This window comes from Homo sapiens, chromosome 4 (genome assembly GCF_000001405.40).
Source record: "Homo sapiens chromosome 4, GRCh38.p14 Primary Assembly".
NCBI lineage: Eukaryota > Metazoa > Chordata > Mammalia > Primates > Hominidae > Homo > Homo sapiens.
In genome coordinates, this window is record NC_000004.12 from 37323869 (window position 1) to 37337185 (window position 13317).

Genomic DNA, 13317 nt, shown 5'->3' on the forward strand with positions numbered 1-13317 from the left:
AGAATGCAATGTCCTTTGCAGCAACATGGATGCAGCTAGAGGCCATAGGCCTAAACTAATTAATGCAGGAACAGAAAACCAAATACTGCATGTTCTCACTTGAAAATGGGAGCTAAACATTGAGCACACATGGACATAAACATGAGAACAATAGACACTGTGGACAGCTAGTGGCGAGAGGAAGGGAGAGGGATGTGAGTTTAAAAACCATCAAGTACTATGCTCACTACCTGGATGCAGTATACCCAGGTAACAAACCTGCACATGTACCCCCTGTGTCTAAAATAAGAGTTGAAATTAAAAAAAATTAGGTACTAAATTTCTCTTATCCTCCTTCCAATTGTGCATTCAAGTCTCAGCACCTAGAAATGAGTTAACATGTTTTTAAGAAACAATAAGTTTCTGTTTCTTATATTATTACATAATTATTTTATGTACGATTTAGATACCATTTTTTTCAGAATTTCTTAACCCTTTTGAATATATTTTTATCTTCTATATCTGCCAGTATTTGTTTCTTTTTAAAGTGGCTTTTTTGTTATTTGGGTTTTGAAAATCTAAGGGCTTTTAGAGAGATTTATTGAATATTATAGGCTTTATTGTGAAGTTAGCATTTTCAGCTCTTAAAATGGAGCAAGGGAGGATGGGCATTCTGATCTCAAGATTATAGAAATTATGTGAAAGCTTAATATAACTGCCTCCATCAGTGCCATAACACCGCATGGGCCCCGCTTTCATGTACAGCTCCTCCGATGGGTGTCCCGCTTTTTCTCTTTGGACTTAGAACTATATTGAATCTAAGGCTGGAAAATACCCTATTTGTTTAGACCACAGACAATCCAGAAGACCTTGTATTTCTCTGAATCTTTGATTTCTGTGTAAACACTGGTTCCTGTCACTCTGCCAGGCTGCAGCTGCATTTCAGGCTTTCATGATTGGTTATTTGCTTCTCAAAATAGGCTTGAGAACAGTAGGAAAATAGAGTAGGTCAACACGGCATATGGTTAAATTTTCATGGACAGATGTGTTTGAGAATAATAAGGAAATTCTTTTAAACGGTTATCTTTGTTATAAATGTGGTATGCAGATGTTTCATAGTTATGGCTGGGATAGAGGTACTTTTAGCAAATGGTACTTTTCATAAGATTACACATTAACCTAATTTTTGAAAACTATATTCATGTTTCACTGAAGGTAGCTGGGCAAGGAACAGCCTATTTGCTCTTAGAATCTTACAGTGCCATCATCAATGCAGAATTGTTCAGCACAGGTGACTTTGGAATCCCTTTCTGTGCAAAACATTCGACATTAAATGCATACATGTTTTGTGATTCTTCGAGCTTCAGGTTCTGTGTTTCTTCTTGTATTTTCTTAATGACAGGAGATAATAAAATATTTTTTTATTTCAGAAGGTTTACATGGTATGACATATGTAAAATAGTTTCTATCTCTGATATAATGTCCCTAAGCCCGGGGTGGGGAGGCATTACTTTATTAAACCACTGGCCAATTGAATCTACAGTGGGTGGATCTGCTATGATAGGTTTTCATGCTTGTTTCCATACTGTGCCAAATTTTGTAAAATGTCACAATATATCTGAATAGGTAGCAATGGTGTAGTCTGGGATGTTTTTGGAAATCAATAATTAAATTTATCAACGTGTGTGTATGTATGTGTGTTTTAAAACTTGTATTTTGTGGAGCTAAAACCCTGATAACCCAGTGTCCTTCTGCCTCTTCGAAAGACATTGTGGTCATAACTGTTTAAGAGCTTAGTGTGAAGGTCTATGTAGGCATCAAGAATCAACTGTAAATTCTCAGCCCTGCCAGCATACACAGAACCAAGAAGTGGTCCATCCTGTGGACTGCTCGTGAGTGCCTGATGGATGGATCTCTGTGGAATTAGGGGGCAGGTCTACACCAACAGCCAAATATCCTGTTATTTCACAATCCAGCACCTCAACTTGATTGTATTACTGTTAGTATTTATTTTTAGGTTTTCATTTTTTTGCCAGAAACATATGTGTGGACATACTCACTTCCTGTGTGTTTGTCTTTCTACTACAGATACGGGAGCAGAAAGACAGGCGCTAAGAGAAAATGTATATCCTAAACTGAGAGAATTCTGCAGAGAAAACTATGGATTGGAATTTCAGGTAATTCTAGTGTTAATTTCATTCACAGTTATGTCCAGTTAAATAACTAGTGTTTGTTTCTTGTCACAACTTGAGTGTTGTAAAAGACAAGTTTTAGGCCCTGAAAAAATTTATTTCTTCAAGCATGGGTAAAAAGAAACACTGACAAATGGAAATAAAGTATTTCATCATTTTTTATGTTTAGTTCTTTTATGCTGTGCTTCTTGGACCCTTCCTGGTATGGGCTCATCTTTTTCTTTGAACCATATTTATTTGCTTTTTTGACGGTCTCCACTATTATCAAAGAGATGAAAGTTGCTGAGCACCTGAGTTTAAGCTATGGTTTCTAGAAATATTTTGCACTTAAAAATGGGGACCAACTTTTTTCAAACTTATTTCCTTTCATCAGCCAGGCCTGGCCTTGCCTTCTGTCTTGCCTTTAACTTTTTATTCACATTGTAGAACATCGTTTTTCCTATTCATTTCAGAGCTACATCATTTACTCCCCCCAAAACATTATATCAGCCTTTCAAGAGACAGCGATGGCACACATCATTGCTAAAGTTCATGAACATCCTAACATTTTAATGCACCACTGAATGTGCCATCTAACGGTAAAGTGCTTGAAAACATTGCATGTATCTTGGGCATCCAAATGTTGAAAAAAATAAATGGCTCCTGCAACAGATAACATTATTTAGTCAGAATTTTTCAGCCTCATTGGCGATGGAAATCCTAACTCTCCAGTGCTATCTAAACTACACATTTACATTGTCAAGTGATGAATATGTAATAGAGGTCTGTGGTGCAGAAGTGCAAAATGCACCATTGTTAGTGGAAGAACATTTCACCCTTTGTTTCCTCCCAGATAAATATTTTATCTTGATATACTCCTGATGCCTTCTAATATGTTGTATAAAGTAACAGTCTCGAAATGGCTTCAATCTCAATGCATAATGTCTTTGCCACCAGACCATGATGACACACACATTGAATTGTCACTCATAAGTCACCATTTACTTGACAAATTGTGAACCTAAATTAAATTCCTTGTCATGAATTCAGCACTGCCTTCTCTGAGGAATCTGGTTTTACTGATAATAGGGTCCCAATTGTTACATAATTTCCAATCTGTCAAGAATCCCAAAGACTTAGACACTCCTTGGGGACTCAGTTACCATAGAGGAAGAAATGTGTCCAAGCATATAATCCCATCTTTAGGTTTGTTTTTGCATCATTTTTGTCAACAGGGGAAGTCAGTGAGCTATAGGACAGCTTCTATAAACCATGGTATTGACTAGGATTAGCTGAGGGAGAAAGAGAAAAAAAGTATACTTTCTGAACTAGAGGTAGGCACAGAAGATGGATACAGGCAAAGGAAAACTGTACTAGGCGAGGCCCATAGAATAAATTGACAGGATTATTCTAGGCAGGTGCACTGAATCAGCTGAGGAGATGTTGGACCACAGAGTACACCGCAGTGGGCAGGGAAGATGTAAAATTGACCCCCAGTTCTCTACGGGTACTGGGAGTGACTGAACCTGCCTATCCTTCAGTTCAGTGTCTAAAATAGGAATGGCAGCAGCTTACATGTCTGAGGTTGTGTTTAGAATAAAATTAAATATGCAAGGTTACATTTGCTTCCAAGCTCTAGGCTTAGCAGGAGTTCACATCCATAATATCTGAATCTTCTAAGAATATACCTTTTAAGTGTAGTCTTTTATAGTAGGTTAATTATATCACTCCCTAAGGATATATTTTTTAGAGAGGCAGTTCTCTTCTCTCAACTCAACAAAAGGTATGATGCCAGAAGCTTCATGAACAGCCAGTTTACCCCCACAGTATCCCCGACTCCATCTTTGGTTGTGCACTGAACCCAGAACATATGGTTTCCTAGAGTTACTCAAACATACCGGTCTACTTCATGCTTGCTTGCCTTTGCTCATGCCATTCTCTTCAACTACAATGCTTTTCAGTCTGGTTCTTCCCCTGCTTCACCTCCTGGATTCTACTCATTCTTAAGACTCTTCCTATCTAACCTCATGTTGTGCCCCCTTGCTCAATGGCCCACAGCCCTGTGGGCCTCTTTTGGATCCCTGAACACCTTAAGCCCATTCATACTTGAGAATTTTACTCTGGCTGTTCTGTCTTGCAGAATACTCACTGCCTTTATCTTCACACAGCTGCTTTCTTATTGTCCCTCAGGTCTCCACTGAAATGTCACCCCTAGAGATGCTTTTCTTTTTATTATTATTATTACACTTTAAGTTCTGGTATACGTGTGCAGAATATGCAGGTTTGTTACATAGGTATACATGTACCATGGTGGTTTGCTGCACCCATCAACCCATCATCTACATTAGCTATTTCTCCTAATGCTATCACTCCCCTAGCCCCCCACCCCCAGCAGGCCCCAGTGTGTGATGTTCCCCTCCCTGTGTCCATGTGTTCTCATTGTTCAATGCCCACTTATGAGTGAGAACATACGGTGTTTGGTTTTCTGTTCCTGTGTTAGTTTGCTGAGAATGATGGTTTCCAGCTTCATTCATGTCCCTGCAAAGGACATGAACTCCATCTTTTTTATGGCTGCATAGTATTCCATGGTGTAGATGTGCCACGTTTTCTTTATCCAGTCTGTCATTGATGGGCATTTGGGTTGGTTCCAAGTCTTTGCTATTGTGAATAGTGCTGCAACAAACATACATGTGCATGTGTCTTTATGGCTGAAAATTCCAGAAACCAGAACGCCTCTTCTCCTCTAGAGATGCTGTTCTTGTGACCCATCCTAAAGTAACCACCTCTCTTTTGCATCATACTGTTTTAGTTCTTTGCATAGTGTGTGCCAGTATCAGATATTTTTTCTTGTTTGTTTATGTATTGGCCTGCTTATTGTCTTTCTCCCACTAGATTATAAGTTCCATAAAAGCAGAGGCTTGTCTGTTTTTACGGAATTTCAAGACAGCTGCATTCCTTGTCCTATAGTCCCTGGCACATTGGAAAATGCTATGAGAATTTGTTGAATGAATGGTTACATGAAAAAAAAAAATGAATGAATGAAGACCCAGCCCAGATATAACTTGCAAAAGAAAGCCTTCTCTGATCCCTCCCACACCTCCCAAGATAGGCCATGTACCCTCCTCTTTGCTTCTCTGAAATTCAATGCATAACTCCCGATAATCCATCCAGTTCATTCAAGAAGTATTTGTTGAGTGCTGACCACATGGCAACCAACATTCTAAGTGCTGGAAATAAAGGAGCAAACCAACCAGACCCTCTTCTGAGGAGCTTCTAACATTGTTAGGAGAGGCAGACAGTGTAGATTCCAGGGATAATAAATGCATTTTATTGAATAAATGCTTCGGTTTTAAAAATCACAGAAAGTAGGGTTAGGGCATGCCAGGTAGTCAGAGAAAGACTCGGTGATAAGGCAATATTTGAGCAGAGATCTGCAGAAAGTGATGGAGCAAGTCATGCGGATGTCTGGAGTTGTGGGGAGGAATCCAGGCATAGGGAACAAGGAAAAGGGTCTGAGGTAGAAGTGTGTTTAGAATATTCTAGGAACAATCACACTACCACACTCCAGTCTGGACAACAGAGTGAGACCCTGTCTCAAAAAAAAAAATTAGAACAGTAAAGAAGCCAAGTGTGAGTGAAGGAAATAATTACAGATGGCATCAAAGTAAGATTATATGAGACCTCATGGGCCAAGATTAAGGACTTAGAATTTTATTGAGTTGGAAGGGAAAGAGTGAGGTGATATGACTTACCATTAAGAGGTTTGCTCAGGTTCTATGAGTAGAATACAATGCAAAGGAATGGTCAAAGCAGGAAAATAGTGCAAACAGGAAGAACTAAAGTAAGCAGTGTAGATAATGAAACGTCATCTGGTTAAGTAAACTTTTCATCACCTGCCTATAAGTGCCAAATGTTCTCAGGCCTGGAATTGCCTTATTTAACTTATCCCAATGGCCAGTCAAATAGCTGCACATAGTAATCCATTTAGTTCAGTCTTTATTCAATTAAATTAATAGAATATGAATAGAATAGAAATTAATAGAATATCAATTAAATTAATACGCATTTTAAGCAAGTCCATATACCTTTTATCTATGTGCCTGTTTGGCAGGCTATTTTGTAGTGTTTTCCTTATTTGTTTTTCATTTGAACTAAGATATTTGATGAAAATACACTAGACTCCGATTATGTAAACTTCAATTAATTCTATATGTGATGGGTACATATATAGGTTGATTACTCAGAGATGGAAACAGTTCACTGGAAAGAACATCAAGCCCACTCAGCAAAGAACACCCAGGGCATCAGGAAAAGACATGGTATTTAAATAATATGTTATTTGATTTGCAGGTATTTACTAAGGGCCTCCAGCTACAGAGAAGGGGATAGAAAATAAGAACAAGGAGAATCAATTGGAAAAAAGTAAAGACAGACTGGGGAGAAAGCCGGTGGTGCAAAACAGATAAAATAAATAAAGAGCTTGTGATTATACCCAGAGATACCATCCACTCTTGCTTTTGGAACTCTTCTCCATCCCCATTGCCGAGGTCCTGGTCTAACCCTCATTGCTTCAAAAATGGGATGAACAAAAGCATCCTAATTGATTTATTTTCCCGCTTACCCCTAGTAGATTGCAAGTCCTTGAGGAAGAGACTGGTTCTTGTTTGTTTTTAAGTCCCCAGGCCTGGAACAGAGCTTGGCATTTAGTGGGGTTTTAGTAAGTGTGTTCAGCAGAACTGCCTTACACCATCACCCTACTTGAGTATTTCTGTACAATACCACCAGAATCATCACCCTACTTGAGTATTTCTGTACAATACCACCAGAATCATCACCCTACTTGAGTATTTCTATACAATACCACCAGAATCATCACCCTACTTGAGTATTTCTATACAATACCACCAGAATCATCACCCTACTTGAGTATTTCTGTACAATACCACCAGAATCATCACCCTACTTGAGTATTTCTATACAATACCACCAGAATCATCACCCTACTTGAGTATTTCTGTACAATACCACCAGAATCATCACCCTACTTGAGTATTTCTGTACAATACCACCAGAATCATCACCCTACTTGAGTATTTCTATACAATACCACCAGAATCATCACCCTACTTGAGTATTTCTGTACAATACCACCAGAATCATCACCCTACTTGAGTATTTCTGTACAATACCACCAGAATCATCACCCTACTTGAGTATTTCTATACAATACCACCGGAATCATCACCCTACTTGAGTATTTCTATACAATACCACCAGAATCATCACCCTACTTGAGTATTTCTGTACAATACCACCAGAATCATCACCCTACTTGAGTATTTCTATACAATACCACCAGAATCATCACCCTACTTGAGTATTTCTGTACAATACCACCAGAATCATCACCCTACTTGAGTATTTCTGTACAATACCACCAGAATCATCACCCTACTTGAGTATTTCTATACAATACCACCAGAATCATCACCCTACTTGAGTATTTCTATACAATACCACCAGAATCATCACCCTACTTGAGTATTTCTGTACAATACCACCAGAATCATCCTGTGTAAATGTCATATTGTGTCAATGAGGGGACATAGAGCAAGATGACCAAATAGAAGCTTCCACTGATTGTCCTCCTGAAGGAACACCAAACTAAACAATTATCCACACAAAATAGCATGAGAACCAAAAATCAGGTGAGTGATCCCAGTACCTGGTTTTAACTTCATGTCACTGGAAAAGGCACTGAAGAGGGTAGGAAAGACAGTCTTGAATTTCCAGTGCCATCCCTCCCCCAACTCCCAGCAGCAGCCACATGGTGCAGAGAAAGAATCTGTGTGCTTGGTGAAGGGAGAGTACAGTGATTGTGGGAGTTTGCATTAGAATTTACTGCCCCTGTCACAGCAGAAAGCAACATTGGGCAGAAATGAGCCAGTGCCCACTGAGGCCCATTTAGACCAGGCCTAGTCAGAAGGGAATCGCCCCTTCCAGTGATCAGAAACTGAGTTTCAGCAAGCCGTGCCACCATGGGCTAAAGTGTTCTTGAGTTCTGAATGAACTTGAAAGGCAGTCTAGGCCACGAGGATTCCAACTACTAGGCAAGTCCTGGTGCTGGGCTGGGCTTGGCACCAGTGGACTTGGGGTGCATGTGAACTAGCAAGATACCAGCTGGGATGGCCAAGGGAGTGCTTGCACTACCCCTCCCCCAACCCCAGGCAGTGCAGCTCACGGCTCTGGGAGAGACACTCCTTCCTTCCACTTGAGTGATGGAAAGGACAGAGTAGAGAGGACTTTGGCAACTTGGACACCAGCTCAGCCACAGTAGGATAATGCACTGGGCAGAGTCCTGAGTTCCCCATTCCAGGCCCTAGCTCCCAGATGACATTTTTATACATATCTTAGGCCAGAAGGTAACCTGCTGCCTTGAAAAAAAAAAAAAAAAGGACCCAGTCCTAGCAGGACTCATCACTTGCTGACTAAAGAGCCATGATCTCCCCAAATGAGTTCAGTAAGGCACCAAGGACCAATCCTGGGCTCTGAATAATCAGCAGTAATACCCAGGCATTACTCGCCATGGGCCTTGGGTGACATTCAGAGAAGTGCTGGTTATGGGCATGACCCAGCACATTCCCAGCTGTGGTGGCTATAGGGAGAGATTCCTGCTTTAGAAAAGGAGAGGGAAGAATAAAGGGAAATTTATCTGGCAGTTTAGGTACCAGCTCGGCCACAGTAGGGTAGAGCACCAAGCGGGCTCTTGGGGTTCCCAGTTCCAGGCCTTGGCTCTCAGATGGTATTTCTGGACCTGCCCTGGGATAGCAGGGAGCCCATTGCCCTGAAGGGAGAGTCTCAGACCTGGCAGCATTCACTACAAGCTGACCGAGGAGCCCTTGGACCTCAAGTGAATGTTGGCAGTAGCCAGGCAGTACTTGCTGTGAGCTTGGGGTAGTGGTGGCCATGGGAAAAGATTCCTCTGCTCGTGAAAAAGGGAGGGAAGAGTGGGAAGGACTTTGTCATGTGGCTTAGGGATCAGCTCAGCCACAGTAGAATAGAAGATCAGGTAGAATTCTGAGGTTTCCAACTCCAGGCCCTGGCTCATGAAGGGCGTCTCTGAACCTGCCAGGGCTGAGGACAACTTGCTGCCCTAAAGGGAAGGACACAAACCTGGCTGGCATCACCACCTGCTGACTGTAAAGCCCTTGGTCCTTGAGTGAACGTAGGCAGTAGCTAGGCAGTGGTTATCAAGGGCCTTGATGGGACTCACTGCTGTGATGGCTTCCTGTCTAACCTAGCATAGTCCCAGTGGTGGTCATAAGGATGCTTGTGTCACCCCTCCCCCAGCTCCAGGAAGCTCAGCACAGAGAGAGGGACTCTGTTTGAGAGAAAGTAAGGGAAGATAACAAGATCTCTGCCTGGTAATCCAGAGAATTCTTCTAGATCTTATCCAAGACCACCAAGGCAGAAGAGCCACGTGTTACTGGGCTTGGAGTATTCCCTAATACAGTTACAGCTACAGTGACCAAAAACCTAGATCACAAACCCAAGTCCCTTTGAATACCTGAAAAAACCTTCCCAAGAATGACAGGTACTAACAAGCTCAGACTGTGAAGACTACGATAAATACCTAACTCTTAAATACCCAGACACCAACAAATATCAAGACCATCCAGGAAAACATGATCTCCCCAAATGAGTTCAGGAAGGCACCAAGGACCAATCCTGACAGGGATATTGTGAACTTTCAAACAGTGAATTAAAAATAGCCATTTTGGGGAAACTCAAAGAAGTTCAAGATAACACAGAGAAGGAATATGGGATCCTATCAGATAAACTTAACAAATAAATTGGTATAATTTGAAAAAAGCAGAAATTCTGGAGTTGAAAAGTGCAGTTGACATACTGAGGAATGTATCAGAGTCTCTTACCAGCAGAATTGATCAAGCAGAAGAAAGAATTAGTGAACTTGAAGACAGGCTATTTGAAAATACACAGAGGAGAAAAAAGAATAAAGAATGAAGCATGCCTACGAGAGCTAGAAAATAGCCTCAAAAGGGCCACTTTAAGAATTGTTGGCATTAAAGAGGAGATAGAGTGGGCTAGAAAGTGTATTCAAAGGGATAATAACAGAACTTCCCAAACCTATAGAAAGATCAGTATTCAAGTACAAGATTATAGAACACCAAACAGATTTAACCCAAATAAGACCACCTCAAGACATTCAATAAATGCCATATTATCAGTTTCTTTGCTTAAAAGTTTTTAATGGCTTTCTGCTGCCAATAGGATCTCTCTTTAATGTAGTTCCAGCTTCGTTTTCAACTCTTCCCCACGTAAATAATCCATGCCAGTCCATCCTCAGCCTGTGCTTGGAGCACATCTTCCTGATTGCTCATTCCTAACTCTCACATTCTAGTCACTATATCTATTTCAATGCTTGCTTCCTATCAGACATACCCTTTCTTCACCCCTAGCCACCCCACACCCTGTCCTTCACAATCTAGCTGAAGGCCTAGCTTTCCCAAGACATCTTTTCCGATTTCTAAATAATCTCCCCCTCTACTCTCTGAACTCATAAATCTGTCCCACATGGGCCGCTGGTACACTGAGCCAAGATTGAATCCAGTTAGGACAGGGACCTCTAAAGGGGGTGTTTAGCTAATCTCAATACTTAGGACACTTCCATTTCAAAAGAAATCTCCATCCGAGTCCAGCCCCTGAGCTTTACATCACTCTTTAAGAATACCTTCTCATAGCCAACTTCATTAGTGGGCACCTGGTATTTACATTGGTCTTAGTCACAAAGTTCATAAACCTCCTTTTTCTTTACCTCTGACATCCATTAAATCCCAAAGATCTGCCAACTCTACCTCCCTAAATACTTCTCCAATCTGTTCCTTTTGTTCGTATCTGTATTACCGTTACCTTGACTGTTGCCATGGGTACCCTGACTATTCCCATTTCCTTCATCTCTGCCTTTTCCTCCCTAATACCAAACTCTTAATCTACTTTACCCAGCTGGTTCATCCTCCACAATGTTGCTACGGTGGTATTTTTAAACACCAATCTGACCCTTGTCCACAAGATACAGTCTATGCTTCTTGGCACAATGTGCAAGTTCTTTTTTACCCCTGCCTACTCTCGAGGTCTTATCTGTGACTCTTTCCCACAGGCAGCCTGTTCTAGCCTTTGCGAACTACATTTGGTTCACCAGATGTGTTTCCTTTCCCACCCTGAATTTTCTCACCCACTGTGCCCTCTGACTGGGGGGTGGGCGGGGGGGGGGGGCTTAAATTGCCTCCCAGGCAAATGAGTAGAAAAATTCCTCCTAATTCATTAAAATGTAGTGAAGTCCTTCTATGAGATTCCAGAGTACTTTATTTCTAATCTTTACTAGCATGTCTTATTTGTTTTAATTAATTTTTAAATGTCCCTCCCCCACTAACTGGGAGCTCTTAGAAGTTAGCAATCACATTATTTATATCTTCATAGTACCAGAATCTGTTATAGCAGAGGTCCCCAACTCCTGGACCGTGGCCTGCTAGAAGCTGGGCCACATGGCAGGAGGTGAGCAGTGAGGCAGCATTACCGCCTGAGCTCCTTCTGTCAGATCAGCGGTGGCATTAGATTCTCATAGGAACATGAACCCTATCGTGAACTGTGCTTGCGAGGGATCTAGGTTGTGGACTCCTTATGAGAATCAAATGCCTGATGATCTGAGGTGAAAGTTTCATCCCCAAACCATGCCCCTACCTCTGTGGAAAAGTTGTCTTCCACAAAACTGGTCCCTGGTGCCAAAAAGTTTTGGGGACTGCTTTGATATAGTACGTGGCTCATACTAGATCCATAATAAATGGTGGTTGATCGATTTCAATTTATTGATTAAATGACTAAGACCCAGAAGCTGAGAGTCTATACCATCACTGTGTAAAGAAGTATAATGTGAGTCACAGATGCAAGCCACATAAGTAATATTAGATTTTCCAACTAGCCATGTTCTAAAAAGTAAAAGGAAACATAAAATAGCATAAAATTTGTTTGCCAAAAATGTTTTTATTTTTTTTCTGCTTATGCTCAAGTCTTTTTAGCTTTAAGAAGAGTATAGTCATCTTTTTTCAAATGAGCATATTTTGTGAAGGTCATTTCCAAATATTTCATATTTTCATTCTTTCTGGTTTTTCTTAGATATTCTTTGTTATTCTTTCTCTGACATGGTTTTTAAAATTTTAATATTTTAAGATAATATCTAAAACATCATTTTAATACATGGTCAATATGAAAATTATTAATGAGGCATTTTACATTCTTGTTTTTATCCTGAGTTTCTAAAATTCAGTGTATTTTACGCTCAGAGCACATTGCAATTTGGACTGGCCAATTTTCAGGTGCTTGACCAGCTGCATGTGGCCAGTAGCTCCCAGGCTGGACAGCAAAGCTCTAGATAGTAGTGGGGTCTGTCTGGGTGGGATCATCCTGATGGGATAATGGCCTGACTGCCTGGTGACAGAAGTCCAGCTGAGAGCCATGGGGGCCTTAACTAGAGGAGCCCCAGTGGGAATGGAAATTCACTTGTATGTGTAAAAATATATATAAAAATTAAAAATCCAGAAAATGATTATAAAGAAAATAAATTTGGCTGGGCGCCATGGCTCACGCCTGTAATCCTAACACTCTGGGAGGCCGAGGCGGGTGGATCACGAGGTCAGAAGTTCGAGACCAGCCTGGCCAACATGGTGAAACCCCGTCTCTACTAAAAATAAAAAAATTAGCCAGGCGTGCTGGTGGGCGCCTGTAATCCCAGCTACTCGGGAGGCTGAGGCAGGAGAATCGCTTGAAACTGGAAGGCGGAGGTTGCAGTGGGCCGAGATCAAGATCGCACCACTGCGCTCCAGCCTGGGCAAAAGAGTGAAACTCCATCTCAAAAAAAGAAAAAAAAAAAAAAAAAAACAAGAAATTGTCCACCTGTCAAATGAGTAACTTTTTCTTCTATCTGACTGCTTTTGGGCATTGTGTTAATAGGGGGTATATAACCTGAAATAAATACTTAATGCAACTTTCAAAACTGCTGTAGAACCAGGACTAAGTGACTGTTACACATGAGGCAACAGACTAAAACGTATGGTCAGTGATGCATTTGCCTGCTGTATTAATCTTGAAACTT

The 13317-nt window shown here is 41.0% G+C and overlaps 1 protein-coding gene across 1 annotated transcript in view, besides 1 other annotated feature; it reads left to right on the forward strand.

The window, feature by feature from the left end:
* Positions 1-13317, forward strand: part of NWD2 (NACHT and WD repeat domain containing 2) — a 204721-nt gene that overhangs the window by 79126 nt on the left and 112278 nt on the right. Inside the window, exon 2 of the mRNA NM_001144990.2 lies at positions 2068-2156. Within this exon, the coding sequence (NP_001138462.1) occupies positions 2068-2156 (89 nt within the window). The remainder of the gene's footprint in view (positions 1-2067; positions 2157-13317) is intronic.
* Positions 12171-12340: an enhancer, noted in NCBI's record as "experimental_79062 CRE fragment used in MPRA reporter constructs". NCBI's record gives its function as "activates a minimal promoter by MPRAs in K562 erythroleukemia cells, with activity observed for the non-introgressed 4:37337746 variant allele {active_cell/tissue: K562}" and the evidence as "EXISTENCE:reporter gene assay evidence [ECO:0000049][PMID:34662402]".